The sequence below is a fragment of the Homo sapiens genome, chromosome 3 (genome assembly GCF_000001405.40).
Source record: "Homo sapiens chromosome 3, GRCh38.p14 Primary Assembly".
NCBI lineage: Eukaryota > Metazoa > Chordata > Mammalia > Primates > Hominidae > Homo > Homo sapiens.
Window position 1 is genome coordinate 85,054,691 of NC_000003.12, and position 25,995 is coordinate 85,080,685.

Consider the following 25,995-nt stretch of genomic DNA (forward strand, 5'->3'; position numbering starts at 1 on the left):
GAATCCAGCTAGAAGAGCTCTTGTAACCATTTTTGGCCAGCAAATGTACAGACATAGACTTTAACTTGGTGAAGGACGTGCAAGTACTCTGGATGATAAATGAGACTTGCTAGGAAACACTACTTAAAAACATGAAACAATTGCTTCTCTTTTTGATGCTTGAAGTACTTGAGTAAATAGCCTCAAGTCTATATGGATCTTGAGAAATATTTATTAAATATTTGAGAGGCTTTGCTGCTGTGAAAAATGATTATGACTACCACAGCATGCAGTAGTTGTGGCCTTATAAATAGAAGTTTAATATACTTAATATCCAGTGCTGAAAGTGTTTTCATTTTGTCCCTAATGCACTGAAAGTGTTTTAAACTATTGAATTTGATGGGTCCTGTCACTGTACTTCTGCCATGACCCCACAGGGCCATCATTCTATTCATTTTCATTCAATGCATTCTTACTCGTAATAATGAACTAAAAGGCAAGCAGAGCTAGCTATGCAAGGTTTGGATAAATGAGAAAGAACTATGTAGTCTTAAAACTGAGAGTTCAATGGACTGTTCATAGAACTTTAAAACCACATGTTAGGGCTTAATCACATAGATCAAGGACATGAAACTATTCATGTGGCATGCTTCTTATTCCAGTGTAGTCCGTGGAAACTTTCTTTTCCAAGCCATGAAAAATCTGTTTTCAGACATATCATCAAGTTAATAAAATGAAATTGCATGCATGCCTTACTTTCCCTCCATCATCATCCACATTATTAGAAAGTTGGTGTCATCATCAGGTAGGATTTATTAAAAACTTGCATGCACTAAGTGCTTTCCTTTTCAATTCAAGTGGCAATTCTCTTACACATTTTATATGCATATTTTGGTAGTATGTCCATTATTGAGCTTTTATGATAGGTTTATTTGCTTCTTATCACTGGTTGTCCTCTGCAGCAGGGTACATTTTCCATTGCAGATACCTGCTTGCACCCTATTAACTTTTGTAGATTTTTGAAATAATTTTAATAAGAGTTACGGTTAATGATATTAGGGAATAGACTGATACATTTCTATTACTTGCTAGCTGGAGTGAGACTCATGGAGCACACTTTGAGTAGCTCTGGCATTACCTGGAAACTTGTTAAAAATGTAGTATCTCAGGCCCTATCCCAGAGCTACTGAATTGGAAGCTGCATGGTACCTGGATCTATGTTATTGACATACTCTGTAAGATTTGAGAAGCACCACTCTATTTACTTTTAAATGTACACTAGTTTGAAATCAAATTATAATAGCCCAGTATTGTAACAAAAGGTCAGTTAAGGGCTCTTCATGTCTCTGTGAATATAAACCAAATCCATATAAATGTGAACAGTAGCATTTTTATTCATGAGATCACTGGACTGCTCAGGTGAAAGTTATTATACACATTAATTATTCCTTAAGTGATAGTTCTTTGGTGTATATCTAGCACTTTCTCTTCTTAGTATCCACTGATGACTTCACCTTTGCAAGGTAATTTTTTAAACAGTGTCATCTGTTAAAGAAATGCAGTACTAATTCATCACAAATGAGAGTGGACAGTGTGGGGCAGTAGAAAGAACACAGGATGGATGGTGAGAAGAAGTGCTTTATGGTTTTATCTCTATTTTGCATTTTAAGTGTGCTTTTAGAATTTCAGAGTCTTAGGCTCTTTTCATTTAACAAGGGAATGGGTTGAATTTGCTTGTATCTAATGTTTTCAATTATAACATTTTAAGGGTAATAGTCACAATGAAAATTTTTATTCAGGTTTAATTATAAGTACATATTGAAATAGTGATGTTAACAGGGTTTCACAGATATAAAAGATAGGGGCCTTAAAGATAAGACTTTTGAATTCAGGCACACCTAGTCAGAATTTCAATCCCTGCAATTTGCAAAGCATTGTTTGGCCCTGAGCAACTTACTTTACTTTTGCATTTAATATCTCCACAGGACTGTTGTGAAAATTAAGTGAAATGATATATGCAATATATCCCCTAGTGAAATGCCTTACACTAAGAAGTCATTAATAATTGGCTATTTTAATTACTTCTCATCTTCTGTAATGAAAATAACACAATAGTCATAAATGCTTTGGAGGACATTATACTTAGACAGGATAGACTTCATATAGACGCTGAAAAAAGGAAGTAAATATAGTGTATAGATCTCTGGTTTTAAGCAGTGCTCAGTATAATCATCTCTGAAGGTTTAAAAATACTCATGCTCAGGCCCTACTTGCAGAGTTACAGAATGAATCGGTGTGAGGGTAATCCTCAGCCATCAAGTTTTTGAAAGTTTCCATGTAATTCTAATGTGCAAGTCAGGTTGAGAATCTCTGGTGCAGATAATCTCTCGAATTCATTGTTGGCAAATGTTATAAATGAACAGAATATATTGACAGATTTCTTAAACAGATGAAATTCAAACCCTGTCAACAACTTATATGTGAGTACACTTATTATGCACAAACATGCTCACCCATCAAATCTAAGAAATACTTGGTAAAATCCAAACAGCATATTTGCCGTGAAAAAATACATAAACATCAGCAGAAAATGTCATCTAAGGATAATCATTAATTTGAAACTTACCATTTTCAGAATTTTTTTTTTGTTATGGGATCTTCCTGTAGTGTTACAGAACTTTCATTTTTAAACAAATATTTTATGAAATCTTCAATTTTACACAAATTCAGGATACACATCAGGACAGTCATAAAAATTATTAATTAAATGATTATATTAGAATATACTAACAGTGATGTGAGTATACTAACATCATATACTAACTTTGATGTTAGTTACTAACTTTGATGTTAGTTACTATTTAAATATAGAATCTGTTTTTCAAGATGTGATACCGTTTGTTTCTTGAGATTTTTTTCTTTGTCATTAACATGTTTTACAATAATCATAATGTCCATACTTAAATGTTCAAAGTTGGACAAGACAGAGTTGTTTGTTTACAGATAAACAGTAGCAGAAAATGTAGCACAATCTAATCAAAAACAAACTAGAATAAAGCAGTTTTGATACAGTAAATTGCTGCCACTGATGCTTTCTATTACACAATAACTGAAGCCCTCCTTTATTGAATAGTTCACATCTTGTTTCTAGAAATGTGATGATTAACAGGCATCCTAAAGATGGAGCATTTTTGCAGAAGCCTTAACATGTGGGGTTGTTTTTCAGTACACTTGCATTTTCCCCAGAAACTTTTGCTTTTTCATAAAATATTTTACTGTAGAATTTTCCCGATGGTAGGTATTAGACATTTTTCAAAAGCCTTGTCACTCTTAAAATACAGTTGAATTGATTAGTCTTAAATTGGTGTAGCAAACATTTCTCACAGATTCTTTGAATGGAATTATTATATTCTGTCTTTTTCTCTGCTATGTATGTGTGCACTAATGCACATGTATGTAAACTATGGGAAAAGTTATTTTACTATAAATCTGTAAATTTTATGAGGTGTAAAACTAGTTTGTTCAGGTAATGAAACTAAAATTTATTATAAATTTAGCAGACATAAAAATTCTAAGCTAGTTACATTTAAAAAAGGATCTTCCTAGTTCAAGAAAATGTAAAAAGAAATCTGGGAGGTTATGTATACATATATGCATATGTAGAAGTATGTGTATATATATATCTACTTTTGAGTGCACATAGGCAACAAATTTTGAGATCTCTTTGATATGTGAATTTTTGTTGTTGTTGTTGTTAAAATGACTTTCTTTTTTTTCTTTTTTTATTTTTTTGAGACAGAATTTTGCTCTTGTCGCCCAGGCTAGAGTGCAGTGGCACTATCTTGGCTCACCACACCCTCTGTCTCCTGGGTTGAAGCGATTCTCCTGCCTCAGCCTACCAAGTAGCTGGGATTGCAGGCATGAGCCACCACACCTGGCTAATTTTGTATGTTTTTGTAGAGATGGGGTTTCTCCATGTTGGTCAGGTTGGTCTCTAACTCCTGACCTCAGGTGATCTGCCCACCTCAGCCTCCCAAAGTGCTGGGATTACAGGCATGAGCCACCGCGCCCAGCTAAAATGATTTTAAATGTAGTATTGGTGCTTATAACTGATTGTTTATAGATTTAGATTATAATTGTCTTCTATTATACTTGTTTAAACTTTGTGAAGTGATATTTTATAGAAATATATAGCATTTATATATAACACAGAAAAATATTATGCAAAACAATATAGAATTATATAGTATTCTATACTATACATTATATATACTAAAAATATATAGTATTCTTAATTATCAAATTTCCTTAAGGTCTATTCAAGAATGCATCTGCCGAGGTGGGCGGATCATGAGGTCAGGAGATTGACACCATCCTGCCTAACCCAGTGAAACCCTGTCTCCACTAAAAATACAAAGAATTAGCTGGGAGTGGTGGCAGGTGCCTGTAGTCCCAGCTACTCGGGAGGCTGAGACAGGAGAATGGCGTGAACCCGGGAGGTGGAGCTTGCAGTGAGCCGAGATCGCGCCACTGCACTCCAGCCTGAGTGACAGAGAGAGACTATGTCTCAAAAAATAAATAAATAAAAGTAAAAATAAGAATGCATCTGCATAGTGGTAGCCTGTTAAAGATCTAGCAAATAAAAAAATAAAAAAAAAAACAACTATGCATTTCTCTAAAGTCTTACGAATTCATCTAAGTAAAGGAAGTGAAAGATATCAGAGAATGATTAATTTTTGTGTGATTTCCTTTCTCTGTGGATATTTTATTGTTTAAATAATGATAACTGACACTAAGAGTAGACAAGTAAATCAAAGAAAATATTTATTCCTGGTGACAAATACAGTCATGTTGATATGGTTTGGCTGTGTCTCCACCCAAATCTAATCTTGAATTTTAACTCCCACAATTCCCATATGTTGTGGGAGGAACCCGGTGGGAGGTGATTGAACTATGAGGGTGAGTCTTTCCTGTACTGCTCTCATGATAGTGAGTGAGTCGCACAAGATCTGATGGTTTTAAAAATGTGAGTTTCCCTGCACAAGGTCTCTTCTCTCATCTGCCACCATGTGAGACATGTTTTTCATCTTCTGCCACAATTGTGAGGTCTCCCCAGCCATGTGGAACTGTAAGTCCTATAAACCTTTCTTTTGTAAATTGCCCAGTCTCAGGTGTGTCTTTATAAGCAGCGTGAACATGGGCTAATACACATGTATTTCAGCTATTATTCTATAAACAGGGTAAATCTAGTCCAGAAGAAAAAATTATGAACCTGTTAAGTATATAGTTAAAAGGAGAGCCAAGGATAAAAGTCAGTTCTTTGCCTTCATATCTCACCCTACTTTAATTTCAGTAATTCTCGATTTCAGTCTTTCTGATCTGATTTCCTGTGTCACATTCCCAAAGATCCCACTTAAATATGCATACCTTTTTGTACTCTCCAGGATTTTATTGCTTCTTTTATTTTATTTATTTTATTTTATTAGCGTCCCTCTCTGTCGCCCAGGCTGGAGTGCAATGGCGCGATTTTGGCTCACTGCAACCTCTGCCTGCCAGGTTCAAGTGATTCTCCTGCCTAAGCCTCCTAAGTGGGATTACAGGCGCCCACCACCACGCCTGGCTAATTTTTTGTATTTTTAGTAGAGACGGGTTTCACCAGGTTGGCCATGCTGGTCTCGAACTCCTGACCTCAGGTGATCCACCCGCCTCAATCTCCCAAATTGCTGGGATTACAGGTGTGAGCCATCACTCTCAGCTCTTCTTAAAACAAATACTGGTTTTGCATTCCTGCTTAAAATATCCCGAAATATGTCCTATCTGTAAGAATTCAGGACACACTTCCTTGGAGTTATGGTAAATGAAAATGTTTTCTTTAAAAATATTTATTTTAAGCTTTAAGTATTTTTATACAAATCATTAATTGAAAATGTTTATTATTCCCATAATTCCTATTTTGCTGATATTTCAAGCCAAGGATACAGACACCAGTCTTTGAATATTACATGATAGCTAAAAATGTTCATTTTATATTGGAATTCTCATTTTATGATGTAAGGATATTTTATGGGTCTGGTGTGGTGGCTCACGCTTATAATAAAAGTGTTTATGAAATGATATGTTAGCCTCAAAATTTCAAGAAAATCAATGATCAAACTTAGAATTAACAAGAATATTTATAAAGTGAATAGACACGAGATCAACATATTCAAATCAGTACTATTACTTATATTAACAATAACCAGTTAAAATATAATATAAATAATCCCATCCAAAAAATAGTAATACATGAGTATACTTCTAACCAGAATGCACAAAAATTCTTACTGAACCAGAAACAGATGCTGAAGAACTGTTAATCTTTAATAATGATAACAAAGACTCCCTATCAGAAATAAAAGACAATTGTTAATAAAATGTTGCTTAAAAAATAAATATATCTAAATTAAGTCATACTTTCCTTGTGACTTTCATAGCCATCTAAAAGAGGTAGTTTCTATTGAAAACTATGTATCTCCAGCATAGTATTTATTATTAAAATGTTTCTCGTGATGAAAATATACCCTTGTCAATAAAAACATAGAATGTTCATTGCCAGTCATTCACCATTCAAGAGAGACCATTTATTAAAAGTTATATGCAACAGTGCAGTCCATGGCAAGGATGCATGCAAATGGTGTGAATTATATATAAATTACACCAGAGCTTCATATTAATGATACTAACTGGCAGTACTAGATATCCTTTCAATGTTTGCTTATTTGAATAAGAAAGGATATAGTTTTACGTAACATTTGGGGAAAAACAGTTACATTTTTCATTAAGTCAAAATAGGACAGACATTTCAACATCGGGAGTATTCCTAACTATCCTATTTCCTTAAAGTCTATTAAATAATGCATCCAGGTAGTAGTAACTGACAGCCTGTGAACCAATTACAGTTGACAGTCATGGAAAGTCTAGTTGAATGTCACCAAAGAGGGCTTTATTTACTCCTTTTTTCATGCAATCTAAGTGTAAGTTCTACTTCCTAGTACATCTTAGACACATTGATGAAGCTGTGAAAAACATAGATACATATAATGTGAGTAAAATACAGTCTATTTGTGTTCGGTATTGCAATGTAGTCGATATATACATATATACACATATACTTTTTATTACTTAATAGTTGATTTGCATAGTTCATACTTTCTTCCCTTCTGAATCTGCAAAATAGTAGCAATAGGATTAGGTCTTCTGTTAGAACTTTTTCTTAAAAACATACTATCAGAAAGAAAAAAAATATTTCAAGAAATATCAGTATCAGTGGAGAGTTCATAAGTAAGAGCTTACATACACACATTCTGTCTCTCTGTCTCTGTCTCTCTGTCTCTCTCTCTGTCTCTCTCTCTGTCTCTCTCTCACTCATACACACACACGCACACACACACACACAAACACACACACGGAAACTCTATATCCAAACTCTTGCTTCCGGTACACAACTTGTTTCCAAAGTTCTAGACATTTGCTATAGTAATAAATTTCTAATTTTTTCAAAGTAAAATAAATCTTGGGCAATCAACACTGTGCTTTACTATTCTACCTGTAAAAGTTTTGGGGAATAAACAACTCACTCATAAATACTCATGGTAGTCCTAAACAAATCAAAACCAACAAACAAAAACAGATAAATGAAAAACAACCTAACCAACATTATGATCACCCTTTTATGCTTTTATTAATAGCAACATTAATTAAGTATATATGATCTTTAAAATTATTTTTGCATATATTTTCATTCTAAATAAATCGGAAATATTCCATTTAAGAGAACCTGGAAAGACTTAAAGGACAGAGCTAATAAAAACCAAATAATAATTTCCAATTTTTTGGTACTAAAAATAATTTTTAAAATTTTTATTTAAAGGCACTTAATTATTTAAAAAGCTCATAACAAGTAATATAATTCTATAAATGACTTATCAATATAAGGGGTGGAATACATTAATGTAATATTTTAAATTTTAAAAAAGTATAAATATGACAATTTTATTTTCAAGATTTGAATATTCAGAACTTTAAATGTAAGAACTGACGAATGTTGCTATGACATGAAAATTCAGAAAATTCTCAACCCTAATGATGATTATACTAGTGTTCATTATGGAATTGTTTTAAAATTACATCTCAGCCTTATGAATCATATCAGAAATACACAAATATTATTTAATTACCGTCTTTATTTTTCATTTGCTGTGAATCAATTATGAATTTTAGACTATTTGATTTGAATTGAGGCATCACTTAGGAATTGAACAGTCTAAATCTTAAAAAAGTGGAAGTTGAATCAGTAACACAGTTTTCAGGAATCTCTTGTTGACCTGATTTACACTTCAAATGGATTCACAATATAAACTAAAAATGACTTTAATATTGTACTATTAAATAATAATTTTTAGGTTTTTTATGTAATTGCAGTGTTAATCAAAAATAAACTTTAAAATATTTATTTTATACCTTCTAAAATAAAACTAATTTAATCTCTGTGTCATGGAGAATACATATTATATTTCTATCAAACTTCAATCTGCTTTTGATGGAAATGTAATTAAATGGAATCTTTTTAACTAATAATTTAAATTATTTTAGATGCCTTGATTTAAATCAATTTCATTCTAAATTGGGATATATGTTTCCTGAATTTAATCTCCGATGATCCACGGCAAGAAAACTAAAGAAAAGCCTTTAGTGTTATAATCAGCAAAAAAGAGCAGATTTTAGAAATAGAGCTAATGCCATGTACTAAATGTCATAGACACAGACACAAGATAGCATAAATCTTACTATCAAACTTGTATATTTTGAAACATCCAAGTATTTTGATCTTAAACAGGATAAACTTATAAAATTTGAATTGTGAGTGAGAATGAAAGAAAAGACAACTAATAGAAGGTACAAAATTTCAGTGGGCTCTCTTATTTTAGTTTCCTTAAAAAAGAAATTAATGAGCTGCCCTCCAGATAATGGGAATTGTGCTTGAAGTGGACTGTTTTATTAATATTTTGAAATGGAGTAAAAATTTTTTGAACTAGTCAATTATCTGTAAATGAGAACATGAGTTCCACCTTGACAAGCAGAATGTCTTAAAATAAATACTGGGGGTATATTAAAACTCATTAGAAAATGCATGGAAAAAATTTCCTGTTTCACCTGACAGCTCACTCTAACGCATTAGCAGCTTCCTCCTGGGTGTTAGAATTAATTCTGCCACAAATATATTTAGTAATTTCAGGTCCCCTCCCCAGTAGGTTTCCACACTTCAGTCATCAAGATATTGCTGCTTTTCTACATCTCATGCTGTGTAGAGAAATGACAAGACATTGAAGGAAAACCGATTCCTTTGGATAGTAGACATAATCTGTTCAATTGTTTTGGTATGGCTGCTTCTTTTCCCCAAGGAATTCTCAGAGTTTCCCGCCTTTGCTAACCTTGCTCTAGGAAGCAAATTTGTATCAATTGTTATACATTGTTTCCAGTGTGAGATGGAGAGGACTAATATTGCTGCTGTCACTCATTCTCCAAAGAGTACTTTGTTTCCTACCAATGAGAACTAAGGTTTTGAGATACCCTTTAAAGAGGAATATTGGAACACATATTCTAAAACTGGACCATTTACATGATTCTCCCATAAGGGTTTCTTCTCTTCTTGTTTGATTTTGCCCCAAAATGATTAAATAATCTACTTTTCCCTTTTTGTGATCTTCTATTATTTTTCTTGATAGAATTATTTGACTTGTTTTAGTGAGGATAAGTGGAATCTTGTGTACATAAAATAACCAAAGAAACTTTCGGATGTTTTACCCTGAACTAGTAGTTGGTAAATAGACCTACATATTTTCATGGGTTTGTGATCATAGTCACTATTTTTTTGAAATCTTGCCTCCTTTGGTTCTTATTTTGTTCATAGAGAAGAAGGGCTATTCTTAAAGAACAGCTTTTCTACTTCAGGAACATTAGAGAAGCAATAATTTTTAGTAAATATTTAGACATACTGGCAATATTTGTTAGTTCATTGCTCAGGCTAGATCATATTGAAGTAGTTTTATATTTCTCTCTTCTCTGCTGGCTGATTGAATAATAGATGATGATTGCTTTCCTAGCAAGGGGGACGACAAGTTCTACTGGTTTAATAAGACTGTCTTTTAAAAATCTAACAGGCACTGTGCACATTTTCTCTTCACCAGTGTGCCTCATGAGTTGCATGTCACTAACTGGTTGTGTTTTTAAGAGTACTTATCTTTTCAAAATATCTTATCACAATATCTGTTGAATATAACAGCAGAGAGATTTGGAAAGTTATCTTTATTACCATATAGATGGAGTTTTAAAATAAAATAATATCACACAACAGGGATTGTAAAATTTCTTTTTAATAGATAATACTAATTTTTTTCCCACTTGTGAATTAGTAAACTTACTTATCATGAAAATAAATAGGACAATCTTGGTTGTAATCTGAAATAACTTCATCTGATATTTCTGTTTGAATATTTTGCATTTAGTTTAGCTATTTTAAATTTATTTCATATAATCTACTAAATAGAATCAATTTGACTCTATATTTTCTTAAAAAACAATTATTTTCTATTATGAATCAGACTTTAATTTTAAAATATATTGGGTTGCTATTCCATTTTCAATTTAAAATTGCTTTAATTACCACTTGATAATTTAGGTTTAACTACTATTAATTAATGTGTTGTCTCTTTTTTAATCATTTTTCTTTCTGGTTCCCAGATTTCTCATTTTTGAAATAAATAGATTGAGTGGAAAATCTCAATACACCTTCATGCTCTAAACTTCCTTGATTTATAACTGTGCTTATAAACTGTAACAAGTTCATAATTAACATTTGCTCACACACAGAATGCTTTCAAAGCATTAGAAGATCTAAATAAGATTTTTCCAGTCCCTTTAAAATCCATATTTGCTGAATTTTGATGAATAAAGACTGATCTTAAAGTTCTTTTATTACTCATCCTTCTATTCATCAGCAGGTAACCTGGGCCATATAATGTTTATAAAATTCATTCTGGGCATCTTCATAAAACAATTATTTGCTTAGCAATCAATGTCAAGTGTGTATACCACAGACTCAGACATAGAACTGTACTTTGGTCCAGATTTGGAGTATATATGAAAAAAATATAATGATTAACCTTCAACAATAACTTTCTTTACTTTAAGCTGTAACAATTCATTAGCACTCATTTCAGTGCAATGGTGAATCTAGGGAGTTGGTAAATATGCAATTAAAAACAACAGCCATGTTTTGCTGTCTTGGAGGTTTCACTGGAGCGTGGATATGTGGATGAGAGTGGGGATGGTGCTAGACAGTAAACAAGTAATTGAACAGAGTAAAATGCTACAACAAACTAAAAGAAAAAACGTAAGAGACACAGAGCAACCTACTTCAGGTAGAGTAGTCTGGAAAGTAAATTCAGAAGAGGGTGCCTTCATCATAATTTTGAATGCTGGGAGACAAAGGAGGTTGTTCCTGAGGCACAGGTGGAGAAGTAGAGTTATCAGGAAAGGGTATGTCAAAATTTTCTTGGTTTTCTATTGCTGATGGGTTGTAGCAGTTGTTCCCAAATCTGGCCCACCATGAGACATGGTGGGTGGACCAATACTGATTCCCCAACTAGGGGTAAAATGCTGGAATCAGCATTTAAAAAAAAAAAAATCCCCAAAGTGCTATGATATTCAGTCATATTCGGGAACTATTGGGGGTTCAAACTGTTGAATGATGTTTTGACTTTATGACATGGCACCACAAATCTTTTCAGTTTCACCTCCTTTGCACTATAACCACCCAACATGCACCTGCACGCACACACACACACAAACGTGTGAGGCATGTACATGGATAAGTATGTATCATCACCAGGCTGCTGAATGCTCGTCTGACTGGGCTGTCATCCCATCAAAAACATCCCTCTCCTCCCCTGCTGTCTACTCTTTCACCTCACACTACCACACTGCTGCCTTGGTCAAATCTCATTAGTTCTTCAAAGACTAGTTAAGCCAAATTGGATACATTTGTTTATTCGTTTTTAAACTATTGATATTATTTCCTGCTTTCAAGGTAAGTCCTGTTTGTAAATACTCTGTAAACTTCCTTAACCTAGTTTTACCTTAAGGTATATTTTCCAGACGAAGCCATTCATTCTTACGACATTCCACACTTCTCCTTTCTTGTTTATTATCTCTTATCCCTCTCATTTCCTTGAGATCTTGCAGTGCTGGGGCAGGATATTTGGTTTTCGTTTCCACAGGGCTATATTTGTATCATTTTGAGATTTAGGATAATATATTAATCATTTGATCTAGGTTAGTAAGTTTAAGTAGGCTTTAAAAATTTTTGTTAAAAACACTCTATTTTTAAAAAATGTTGTACTCTACTGGCTTATTGATTGGATTTATTTGCTTGAATTTTCCCAACAGCAATTTATCTCTGAATGTTCATAATATTAAATATTTTATAAAAGTATCACTTATTTTAGGAAAGTACAACTAATATTATTGGTGCTGCTTATGATTTTTGGAAGTAATGCACATCTAATTAAACTGTGTGTGTGTGTGTTTGTGTGTGTGTGTGGTTTTGTTATAAGGCATTCTAAAGCTGTACTTTTCAAAGGAGAAACAAAAAAACATGTTGGCTTTTTATTATAATGTGAAATTTGTTATAGTAAGAGTTTTAATGGGAACATTTATTTTATTTTTGCTTGGAAGGTTATGAAATACATTCATAATTCTCTGCTTTTATGAACAACATGTTAAGAAAGGGAGTCCTTTAACAGTTTTACCCGTAGAAGTGGGAACAGTATGGTATCTGGGAACACAGTAGGACACTTTATTTTATTTTAGGTAACTATTGTTACCTCTGCGAACTATCACTAATGCTCAATTACGAATGAGTCTTCTTTCTTTGTTTTTCTTCCTGAAGCATGTCGATGGATTTCCATTTTTATTTACTATCTTCTTTGGCTGTTTGTACCAATTAATTAATTCTCATCTAGGGAAACCTGTTTCTGCACTGTGGATAGAATTAATCTAAGCTGCCTTTATTTTTGAAATACTTATTTACATTGTTTCTTTATTAAAAAATCATTTAGTCAATGTAATTTTCAACAAAGGGAGAAGTGAATAAAATATATTTGGGTCACCTTTGTATACAAGGCAATCTGACACAGTTGGGGACTATTTAACCATTTATACCACCAAATGTCCTCTTGAGAATTGTGTGGGTTTCCTTTTCCTTTCTTTGTTTTTGGGGAAGTATGGACAGGGATAGAGACAGCTTATGCCAGTCAGCAAACTCCCAAAGGGAAAAACATATGGAAGCTCAAAAAATAAAATATTTTCTGTTTCTCTAGACACTATTTTTAACGCAGACTTTAGAGAATCATTTCCATGTCCTGATGTTGAGCAAGCCTTCAATTATAACATTTCTCTGGCAGTTTAACAATGGAAAACTTGGGGCAGGAATATCTATTTTCCCATTGATCTCCTCTCTAAACAAAAGTATGGTAACATTCATCAATCTATCTGTTAGTTGATTTATCTCAACATCTATTTATCCATCATTTCCTCAACCAAGTGTCAGGAAATGCACACTGATGAAACTGAAGGAACTGGGAGAGGACAACAGCAGCAAGCCTGTTCTCTAGACACACAATCTGGAACTCTGTAAAGTATAGGCTCAGTCTACATGGTTGGGAGAGCTCCATATGTTAAGTTGAATTCTGAGGTTGAAGTTTAAACTGGAAAAAACAAAGTTGGGACTTAGAACATTGAGGAAATAGGAAATTATCCCAATGGCCTATTTAGTCAGACAGTACATTGAGAAAAATGCTCACCAATAAGTTCTCCAGCACGTTAAGATCTATAATCTTCCACACAACTCCTGATGTAATGGAGCCTCAGGAACCATTTGTATAAGTGGTCAGGGTAAAATGACTTTCTAATCACGAATATATAAAATGCTTTGAGAACATCTGTAAGATACAGAATACATATTTAAAGTAAGCTTTTTTGTTTTATTTTATTTTTACATTTTTATTTATTTAATTTTTTTTTTGCTTTTGGTTTTTGTACCTAGCATTTGTTCAAATAACTTTTCATATGGAGATACTAACTTAGTATACCACATCATTTTCTGAAGATTGTTCTATGGTAATGAATTAGTCATTTTCATGTAAGCTGGACTGAAGCCAGTGATTTGGAGTAATAGAAACTTTGTCTCATCAATCTCATGAACCATTTAGTCCCCATTTCAAGAACAATTTTAAGTCTATTTCTAAATGTGTATTCTATTTTTATGTTGTGCCAATCAAATATGCTCTCAAAGGAAAGCTGAGTGAATGGCTCAATTATGGCCGTTGATGCCTTTCCCCTCTATTTCAGGACCAGTGCTTCTAAATTACTGTGGGCAAAACTAGGATGTTTCCCATGGGGAAGAATAATGGAAGAGAGAAAAAAAAAAGATTTGATACTGTAAATTTAAAGTTCAGTATTTTAGCTTTGTTATTCCCTTAATTATAATTATAGAATTATAATTTTAATTTGTGACTTGGCTACAATTTTGAGACATTGTATTTGTTTTATTTGTCCATTTAAAAAATCATTTGTCAAAAATAATATTTTTGCCAAAAACCACAGAAGATTAATATTTTTTGTCAAAAAGTACTTTTGCATATTATGCATGTGTAATCAAAAAATAATACCTTAAGTATTAATAACCAATTCAAATGTTTTTTGGTACAGGAGTCAAGACATCCTTTAAGCATAAGTTAAACATGAAATATTTTCCCTATTAGGTGTTTTAAGTTTTCTAGTAGTACCAAAATTTCCCTTTTATAATAATTTTGAGGAAAGAGTGGGAAAATCATATCTGAATTAGAATATTTACTTTTAGTTGTCATCAATATTTGTAATTTGCCATGCATTAACTATCAATAAACAGCAGCTACATCAAATAAGTAAATATCAGTATTATCTTTGATAAAAAATGCTCTGTAAAGACTGGGAGTAAAAAATAACATGAATGTGTGACCTACGTACCATTTTTCTTAATGTCTAGACGTCATACAAATATTACCACTGTCTTATTTCTTTGACTATAAGTGTTTCTGAAGAAGCTGATGTGATTATCTTAAATTAGAAGATGCCTGCTATAACCTGAGATATGTGTTGCTATTCCTTAGCAGAACTTTGGTTTTTATCATTATGTTTTTGGGGCACTTTTTGGCCAAGTTTAATAATTTCATACATCCCTGATAACAGTATTCTAATGCAATCACATTCTGTTTTCTGTTCAACTTCTTCGAATTTTTTGTATTTTTATTTTCAATAAGCAAAATTTTTTTTCTGAAAGTATTTTAGTTACATAAATATTCATAACATGTTCCATAGTGACATTTTACTACATTTTTTCATTATACATCCTATCTGATTTTATCTACTGGCACTTTTTTCTTTTCCCAGTTAAGAGATGCCCTTTATCTCAAAATGTGGCGATTATGTGGGCTAAAATTATTAATTTTTAAACATATGCCTATATAGTTTAATGTGAAATGTGAACAAACTAGAGAAAATCAGTGTGAAATTATCTTTTTATTTATTTAGCACAAATTCCAAAATGTGAAGCATAGCTATACTTCATATCAAATTATTCTTATAGAAAGACTAGATTCCTCTCCTCTAGATTGCCTGGGATTATTTGTTTAGACCATTAAATGTTCATTTGTTATCTGTTAAACACTTAAACCTAAGGATAAACAAATTCTAGATTACCTTTTTAAGAGTTTCAGTTTTCAAATAAAAAATTTATTTCTATGTGTGTAGAAAATGGTCTTTTGTCACTATATCCTAAGCTATAAAACGAAAGAAAGTTAAATAGAACAAAAAAAGGAACTATGCTACTTCCTGTAACTGATGGTAAATTCGTAAGACTAATACTATAAATATGGCATAGTTTAACATTTTTGGAATAATTCAGGCCAGGGGCAGTGGATCACGCCTGTAATTACAGCACTTTGGGAGGCCGAGGCAGGTAGATCACGAGGTCAAGAGATCAAGACCATCCTGGCTAACATGGTGAAATGTCTCTACCAAAAATATAAAAAAATAGCTGGGCTGGGTGGTGCACACTTGTAGTCTCAGCTACTGGGGAGGCTGAGGCAGGAGAATGGCGTGAACCCAGGAGGCGGAAGTTGCAGTGAGCCGAGATCGCGCCACCGCACTCCAGCCTGGGCAATAGAGCGAAACTCTGTCTCAATAAATAAATAAATAAATAAATAAATAAATAAACAAATAAATAAATAAATAAAATACTTATTATGTCTTGTATAGTGACTAACATAAGGTACGTTCTCCATAAGAAATGTTAAATAATTAACAAATATTAAAATACTTCGTAAAAGCTTTTACTTATAAAGTAGGAAATATATGTATTGATATGATTATTTAAAAGTAAAGTATATAGGTAAGATGGGAGGGAAAGAAGGGAAGACAGAAGGAAAAATAAAATAAATGAGAGAGGGAGAGGTAGGAAGGAAGACAGAGAAAGATGGGAGAGGGAGAATGTCAGGAAAGAGATTTGCTTCAGGGATAGTTGTCAGGACTCAGGACAAGTGCTTATAAAATGTGGTTAGGAAGCATTCTTTTTTCTTTTTTTTGCCTGTGCGTTTAACTAAATTCCTTTTACAGTCAGTTTTGCTCAGGATAAAGGGATGGAAAAACCTTAGTATTAACTTACAAGTAGTGCCACCAAATTGTAAGGTGCCAATATCAGACACCTTGTGTTCCACTCTATATTCTCTTCAAAAAATACAACCTTGAGAATTCATTTATTAAAATATTTTGCATACATTACCTCATAGGTGGTCTTGAGTTTGTTTCATTGTGATGAATATAATATTGAATTTTAAGACCTTTGAACAATGGCAATATATATTTTTAAAAGGGAGAGTGGATAGTTAAATCAAAATGACTGCTCAAATTTGTAAAGGTAAATAAGAACTGAGCCTTGATTATCATAGATTTAACTGAAAATAAAAGCAACAGAATCCAACTACCTTCGTTAGCTATTGTGCATGATTTTTTTGTGAAAGTTATGATATATGATTGTTTGTATGAAGCAAAAACATGTTTAATTCAAAACTATCACTCTACCAACAAGGTCATTCTGGTTGTTATTTTTATCACCACAGTCATGGGGCATAGGATTATATTTTCTTCTATATAATAATAATATAATACAAATATATATATATGAAATGGTAAACTGTAACAGCAATAAAATTAGCTTTCATAGCATCATCTTCAAACCAAAATATATCAAAATCTATAAGAAGTTAATTATTAATCAAACTGGGTAATCTTCAATTATTAAATGATTATTTCCAAATAATAAGATTTAATAATTATTATGAATAAAATTAAACATTCTTTTCTCATGTATTATGAAGAAATGATAAATGTAAATCTATACTTACAACGGTCAGAAAAAATTCCCCTGAAAGTGGAACAAGTTTTAACCCCAAAAGGACATATTTTTAAAAGATTAATCTGTTTTGTGTCCTTTGGTTTGCTAATAGCTTCCACTTATTAAATATTCTCTGATGAGAAATTACTGCTTTTAACATCCAGTCTCCTATTTTAAAAACCCTACTTTACAGGTATTAGGAGAGATCTAAGTGAAAAATAAGCCCAGTGAATGGCTGTTCAATTAGGGTGTAAAACCTTTTTAAGTGCCATTTCAAAAAGTCAGACTATGTACTTGATAGAACTTAGAGGAGGTCATGTGCCAAAGAATTACTCATAATGATTTAATTCATTCATTTCATAGATTATAGTTTCTGCTCTTCTGTTGATGCACAATGGATTTATGTGTTTAACTCCCATTAACACTAATAGTGGCTTTGTGCATAAAACAGAAATACATTTAAAAGACATAGTCTCTTTTCCTGTCTATTAACCATCTACCGTCTTTTCTTTGTAAAGGAAAAAATTTGAATTTAGATAAAAATTTTAAATTCTATTATAAGGACATTTAAATTATTGACAGTTTACTTAGAGAAATATTTTTATCATTTAAAATCTTCTAAAAATGATTACCTTAAAAATGCAGAGGTTTTTTTTATCCCTGTGATTATTTGGGATTAGTTTTTCATGTTGTTTATTGAATCATTGCAGGACATTTAACCCTTGAAATTAATAAGTATTCTATTGCTATAGATAACATTAGGCTTAAAACCCTCTCTTTCCCTAGGTTAAACATTTAAAAAATTGTTTTTCATTGTAAGACTCTATTTTGACTATCTTACTTCTTAAGTCTGATGTAGCTCTAGTGTAGAGAACATTTAAAATGGTAGTGGCAATGTGTCCAAATTAACTTCTCTGACAGATGGATTGCAAAGGCAAAATGGACATTTATTTGATGTGATACTTAGGAATCAGCATAAAGACCTGAAGGTGCGTTGAGTTTTGTTTCTGGAGATAGTGCATACAACTTATTAGTGTTGTGCAGTTTAAGGTGAGTTACAGTAAGATAATATACAGACTTTACGTGATCTATCTGTCTCTTTTGCAGTAGATGAACATAAAAACTCTAAGTAATAATAATTGGAAGACAATAAAGTACACTTCTCTAAGTAACCAAATCATGCATTATTCATGCTACAATGTACATACAGTATACATCTATGTAAATATTACTTTATTTGAAAGCTACAAATGATGGTTATTCAAAATAATTTGTTAAAAAGATAAAACCAAAACATAACTCTTACTGTTCTTTCACTGGAAACCCTCTAATGAATCCCCATGTCATTCAGAGAAAAAGACAATTTTCTTACAATGGCCTATAGTGCTTTAATAGAAATATAATGAAAGACACCTGTGGTGGTATATTTTCTAGTAGTCACATTGATACAGGTATAAAGAAACAGATGAAATTATGCTTAATAATGTATTTCATTTAAACCAATCTATCCAATATATGATCGTTTCAATACATAATTGAAAATGAAATTTTTTTCATACTTATCCTAAATTCTAGTGGGTATTTCACACTGACAGCACCTCTCAATTTGGGCGCAAAATTTTTAGTAGGAATACTTGATTCATATTTATATTCAAAAAGTTAACAGTTGAGAAAGATTCACATACCCAAGATGTTTGCAAATATATTTTAAAATGTTTCAGTAATTGAATTGACTACCAAGAATAACGTGTATCCATATTATTATTATGACAAAAGTGGTTCAGTTTTAATATTTAAATTGATTAAATGTAACGTACAATTAAAAAAAATTCCCGGTTGCATTAGCCACATTTTGAAGGCATTGTAAGTTCATGTGACTACCATATTGCACAGTGCAGCTGTATTTACCAGAGCTCCCGTTACCACTTTCACCTCATTTTCTGCTACTCCTTCCCACTTCTCTCCAGCCACATTAACTGTCTTACTCTGCCTTAAACCCTCCACATACTCTCCTGCCTTAGAGCCTTTGTACTATTTCCTTTGCCTACGATGCTATTCGTCCCAACTTTGGCATTGCTGACTCCCACAACTCCTTCAAATCTTTGCTAAAATCTCAACTTCTCAGTGGTGCTTACCCTGACTCATTATTGAGAAAATCACTCTCCCATCTCACCTCTACCTTTATCCTGTTCTTATCTTTTTCTCCCTGAAAATCTTATGTCTTGCCAATATAATAAATGATACTCTCTCCCTCCCTTATGTTGTTTATTTTCTTCCTTGATTAGAATAAAAACTTGAAGTTGTGACAACTTTTTATCACTTTATTTCACTGACATATACCAAGCAGTTAGAATAGTTCCTGGCACATAATTTGTGTTCAATATGTTTCTGTTGAATTAATAATTAAATAGCTTCCTACAGTTTGGATTTGCAACCTGAGGTAGCAACCTGGGGGGCAGAAAATGGGCCTTATAGAAGAGGAATTATTTCATGATAATTCTGTTTAAATCAGCCAGCTCCCTCACTAAATGTCTGTTGGGAAAAGAAAAAGTGTCAGCATTGGAGAGGGAGTCAGGGAACCTAATTTTTGTTCTCACGTATATCAGTAATAACCTCACATTTCCGGGATAGAGATTTTTCTTCTCTATATTATGAGAAAAATGGAATAAGTATCAACTTTCCTTCCATTTTTAAAAATCCTACTCAGAGGTATTCCTCTCAAAAAAAAAAAAATCCAGAAAAATTTGAATAAACCAATCCACTAGGAGCAAGATGCAATTTAGCATAGCTCAGTAAGCAACCTGATGCTGTACATATTTGCAAGGTTTTGCACTCCAAGAGCACTGTAAAAGCAGAGCCCATAAAGGAGGGGAAAAAAGAACAAATACTTGAGAAGAAATTGTCATAGCCAATATTTGAGACAATGAATACAGAACTTATGATGGTGAGAACTTTACTGAAGGACATGTGCCTCTCAAAACATTAAAATGTACCTAATTTAGTGATCAGGCCTAAGCAGTTTTTTTGTTTTTTTTTTTTAATATCATAAGGTCTCCTAAAACATAATTTGAACCAATAGAAGTTTAGCAAAGCCTGGAAATGATATAACTTGCAACATTTAGATTTTCTTCTGTAAATAGTTGAGGTCTGTATGACATGGAAGTTGTGAAAATAAATGACTATCTTCAATTAGGAAGTCTTCATTTAAGAGGGGAATATTTAAAATGGTAAAATAAGGCAGAATGTGGAAATTTCTTTACAAATTGTACACATGTCTAGAGGATTCCAGAGATAGAAAAGATTATTCTTTGCCAGAAAATGTAAAGAAAAACTATTGGAGGGGTATCGTCAACTATTTTAACTTGTTTGTGGGTTACATTTACTTAATATTCTCAGTTTGTTTGTTCTTATTGTTGTTTTACTATCTCCCTTATTTGGTAGTAAATACAAGCATGTGTAAAATTTTAGGAGTCAGAAACTAGACCTGATTTCTGATCAGGAATTTAAATCCATGTTGTAAGTGAATCTCACAAAAAGTAATATTTATTTCTCTGGGGCAAAATGTCACATTAGAGCATAATAAGCGATGGTGAGCTATTTTAATTCTCCTAAAATGCAACACAACTATTGAATTAAAATTCGTTACATTCTTGAGAGTTTATAACTTTTTCATATACTCCATTAGATAACAACACTGAGTCATTTCAAATGTAGTTACATTAAAAGGCATGTTGGAATGTACTTTAATTACCATGATAATAGTGACAATGCTTACCAGGAAAAGAAAAGCATATTGTTCAATTAGTGTTCAAATAAAAACAACTGTATATCTTTTAGAAGAAAATGTTCCAGATTCTGCAACTTCAAAAAAAAAAAAAGGTAGTTACCATGTGCCAACTACTTTTTTGATGTTCTCCATGCATTACCTCATTTAATCTTTACATTTAATCTTTAAATAATTATCCTCCCTGCATAACTAAAGAGAAAATTAAGGCATTAACAAGTTAAATAACTTGTTCACGTTAGTGATGCAGCCAGGATTTTAACATGAGAAATATGATTCTAGCCACTGAACTACTAACCACCAAACTATAAAAAAGAAATTGTGTGTGTGTGTGTGTGTGTGTGTGTGTGTGTGTGGTGTGGTGTGCATGGTTTTTCTGAGATGGAGTCTCGCTCTGTCACCCAGGCTGGAGTGAGGGCAATGGCATGGTATCAGCTCACGGCAACCTCCGCCTCCAGAGTTGAAGCCATTCTCCTACCTCAGCCTCCTGAGTAGCTGGGATTACAGGTGCGTGCCACCACACCCTGCTAATTTTTGTATTTTTAGTAGAGACTGGTTTTGCCATGTTGGCCAGGCTGGTCTCGAACTCCTGACCTCAGGTGATCTGCCTGCTTTGGCCTCCCAAAATGCTGGAATTACAGGCATGAGCCACCACACCCGGCCATATTGTTGATAAAATTATTATCTACTTCCAAAGATAATTTTCGGCTGGGCATGGTGGTTCACACCTTTAATTCCAGCACTTTGAGAGGTCGAGGTGTAAGAGTCACCTGAAGTCAGGAGTTCGAGACCAGCCTGACCAACATGGTTAAACTCCATCTGTACTAAAAATACAAAAATTACAAGGGCGTGGTGGCAGGCACCTGCAATCCCAACTACTCTGGAGGCTGAGGCAGGAGAATCGCTTGAACCCAGGAGGTGGAGGTTGCAGTGAGACAAGATTGTGCCACTGCACTCCAGCCTGGGCACCAGAGAGAGACTCCGTCTCAAAATAGTAATAACAATAATAATAATAATTTCACCAGCAATTTTAGAATACATTGTATATGTTTGACTGAGAACGCCTTAATCAAAACAACTTGGGAAAGCAAATCTAAGACTTTTAATATTGCTTCTGTCTAGGGAAGCTAGAGAACATCTCAGAATTATTAATAGATCAAAGTGCTCTTTACCTGGAAGTTATGTATTGTATCTAGTCAAGGCCAAAAGTAATTAAAGAATATTGCCCTGTGTTTAGTGAATACTAGTTGAGGTTTGTTTGCAATGTTCCTATATTATAAAACATTTTATTATAGTGGAAACTTTTTTATTGGAAAGGGTGACTAAGGCTCTAATAATAAGTGATACTTATGAGGCAATGCTTTTATTTTTTTTCTTATTGTCATAAAATACCTTTACAGAGCAATATTGTATCCAGATATCTCTCTTTTTTAATATAGCCCTACCATAACTGTTATGTTGAGATATTAAGTTGCTTGGTGTTTGTAATTTTGTATGTGCACTGTTGCCCTGAAAATCATGGGTCATTCATTTTAGGATGCTAACTCTATTCTTGTAAACCCAAACTATAACATCTCCACTGATTTATTTAATAAGTATATATTAAATAGTTTTTATTTCTTTTGAAATGCACCCCTAGGTCTCTAATATAAAATGATGTAACAATTTCTTATAAACTGCATGTTTTTACATTAAACAGCTTAAAATACATTCTCGAAATAAAAGTAAATGAGATTATATATTTAATTCAATTTTGACATAAAACTGTATAAAGAAAAGTTTTTTGTCAATGCTCTGCTGTGGTTTTGTTAATAAAAACAGATTATTATCTAATGAAAGTTAATAGTAAGCCAAATTACATATGAAATATCATTCGTTAGTAAAGCACAATTAACCTATTTGATATTACATGACTTGTTTCTTACTATTGCGTAGGATTAAAATTTTGGCATCATGTTTGGTTGGTGCACACAAACTCTGCCAAGCAAAATAAATTAAAATAACCTTTATAACTTTTTGCTCCATTGAGAGTTTTCAATGTTTAGTTTTTAAATGCAGACTTAACTTCATTAAATTATACGTGGAATGTATATGGAAATATGGCTCAAAATAATGGTGCCAGTGATTTTACTGGGAAAAAGTCATTTAGTAAGGGATAAATGGCTGGTAACTAAACTCTAAGAATTTTTGCATTTTTGTATCACTGCCTTTCTTTAAATGATCCTATTTTTAAAATTTGTCCTGCAGAAAGAGAAAGAACAGAAAATTCATATCTGGTGATCAACCAGTAACATGTCCTTTGTGTTCCTGGACATCTCAGAAAACAAATCATATTGAAGTACATGACATTAATATAAATAAACTGTTCCTGCTACAGATAGAAGGTTGTGATTTTGATTTAGGATCAGCCACCAGCTTTTCAGAGCTAAGAACAAAGCAAATATATTTAATTTTGGATTAACATAGCATCTTGTGGAATATATTTGTATATGGCTATATATAAAGCCAGGATAAAGACTCTTTTGTAGCATTACATCATCAATGTAAACTTTTACAAAAATCATTGAAATAAAGACATTCATATGCAGATATCTTATCTGCACAAAGCCCAGAAACTGTCTTCCAATTTTACATTCATAACTTTCATTCACAAGATCATAGTGAATAGATGTTCTCTGAAATGCCCCATTCTTTCTTTCTTTCTTTTTTTTTTCTCTTAAAATGAGCCTTTTACAATCTATTAGGGGAAAATATAGCCGGTAACCCCATTGAGCATGTTCAAGTATATGCAGGTCATAACCTTATGCTATTTGTAAGCTTATGTTTTTCTTTAATGTCACAAGAATTTCTTTCATGTCACTCTTGCCGTAGCACTTTATAATAAAGTTTAGGTAGTCTGCACTTCCAGGGTGTCTCATATAATACAGAAATGCTAACAGTGTATATTAACATTATCACTGTTGTAACTACCTTATAAAAAAAAGAGGCCATTATAAGTGATCTCATTTTACTGCAATACATTTTTATTTAGTGGTTATATTGTTTTGCCAATACTGAGAAAATAAAGTAAATGCAAATGGGCTTAGTTTAAATTAGATTTTTAGGTATAAATTAATTTTTATTATCTAAAAGAAAAAATTACATTCTAAGTGATAATTAATCTTTTTGCAAACCTAGCTATTTCCATGAAATAGCAGAAATTTAAACATATAAAACATTCATAATGTAATAATTGAATAAAATTAAGCAATGCCAATGCACATATTATACTATTTTATTTATAACAGTTATTCACATAGGAAGTATGAGATATTTTATCAATTGTCTTTCCTGGATATAGGTACATCTTATATTGACATGAACTTTTGTATGTGAACTTATAAAATGCATGTGGGCTCATAGGTATAATCTATATTGACTAAAGGAATGTGCGTTCCTTCCTTTAATTGTAGAAGGATTACCTAATATTTATGAAACTATATTATCTATTTTTCATAGGGTTATTAACAAGAAATACTTTAAATATTGATGTTCACAATGAGAAATAAAGCAACACACATAAAGTGGAAACAGAAACATAGTGTTAGGAGTATTTAACCATGCTGGTATAAGAAAATCGTATAATAATAAGACAATGCTGAATGCAACACAGTCATTATCCTTTGGGCACATAATTTCAATTTCTGTAGTTTTCTCTCCACATTTGATTGATATAATAAATACAAAAATAAAAAAAATTACATAGCAATAGCTTGAAGAATAATAGTAAGACCACAACCTGTAATTAAAATACCTTTAAATTTTACGTATATTTGTTATATTAAGACTTACTTTTCCAGATAATACCCCTTTAGATAATGCATAAACCATGAACGCAAAATAAACATCATCACTAAAATAGAAGTGTTTTGGACTGTGAACTTGAGAAGGAAGGATGATGAAGGATGTACTATCACATTTCCACTCTTTGATACACTATTGGAAACCAAAAAATGAAAAAGGAAAACACAAAATAAACTTTAGAGGTAATAGTAAGTATTGAAGTGTCAAGAAAAAAAACTTCTTAAATATCTCAAACAAATATCATAATACTATTTTTGAGAAATCTCAGAAGGGATTTTAAATTTCTGAAAATGGGATATGAACTCAGGTATATCAATTAACTTAAATGATGTACTTCTTTATACCTTGGTCGGTTCTGTAGCTGGTCAGACCAATCTTTACAACATTACATATAGATAGGAAGCTGGCTACCTTTAGAAATTTCATTACATGCCTCTTAACTCCTATTTTATGTGAGTATTTCACTGTGTAGTCACTTTAGCGGACCATGGATTCATGCTTGGTCAAAAACAGAAAATACATATCATTTCTGTTTAGTCGATATGTCAGGAAGATTTAAATGCTGAAAAAAGGAGTAGGCATTCAACAAAAGCTGAATATCTCAGTCCAGACAGTTTCAAGCATATTCCTTCAATTGTCATAGACATCAGATACATTATACATCATATAATCAGAGACATTAGCAACATTAAGCTCAGAATTGTCGGTAGCAGTACCAAAATAATAATCTTAATCTAATAGTACCTCAGGTTCCTTTCTCAATGGATATAATATAAATATTTTGAAATATCAAAAATCTTCATTTGAGCTCTCTCTTTATGCTTATGGCATATAAAAAGAGAATTTTTATCACATATTT

At 32.4% G+C, this 25,995-nt stretch overlaps 1 protein-coding gene and 1 non-coding gene across 12 annotated transcripts in view; one reads left to right on the plus strand and one right to left on the minus strand.

Moving 5' to 3' along the window:
• The window catches only part of CADM2 (cell adhesion molecule 2), a 1,115,441-nt gene that overhangs the window by 95,702 nt on the left and 993,744 nt on the right, over positions 1–25,995 (plus strand). The gene's annotated exons all lie outside the window — the stretch shown is intronic.
• On the minus strand, positions 7,463–7,574 carry SNORA95 (small nucleolar RNA, H/ACA box 95). Its single transcript, NR_132777.1, has one exon. It is a non-coding gene; the product is annotated as a small nucleolar RNA, H/ACA box 95 (small nucleolar RNA).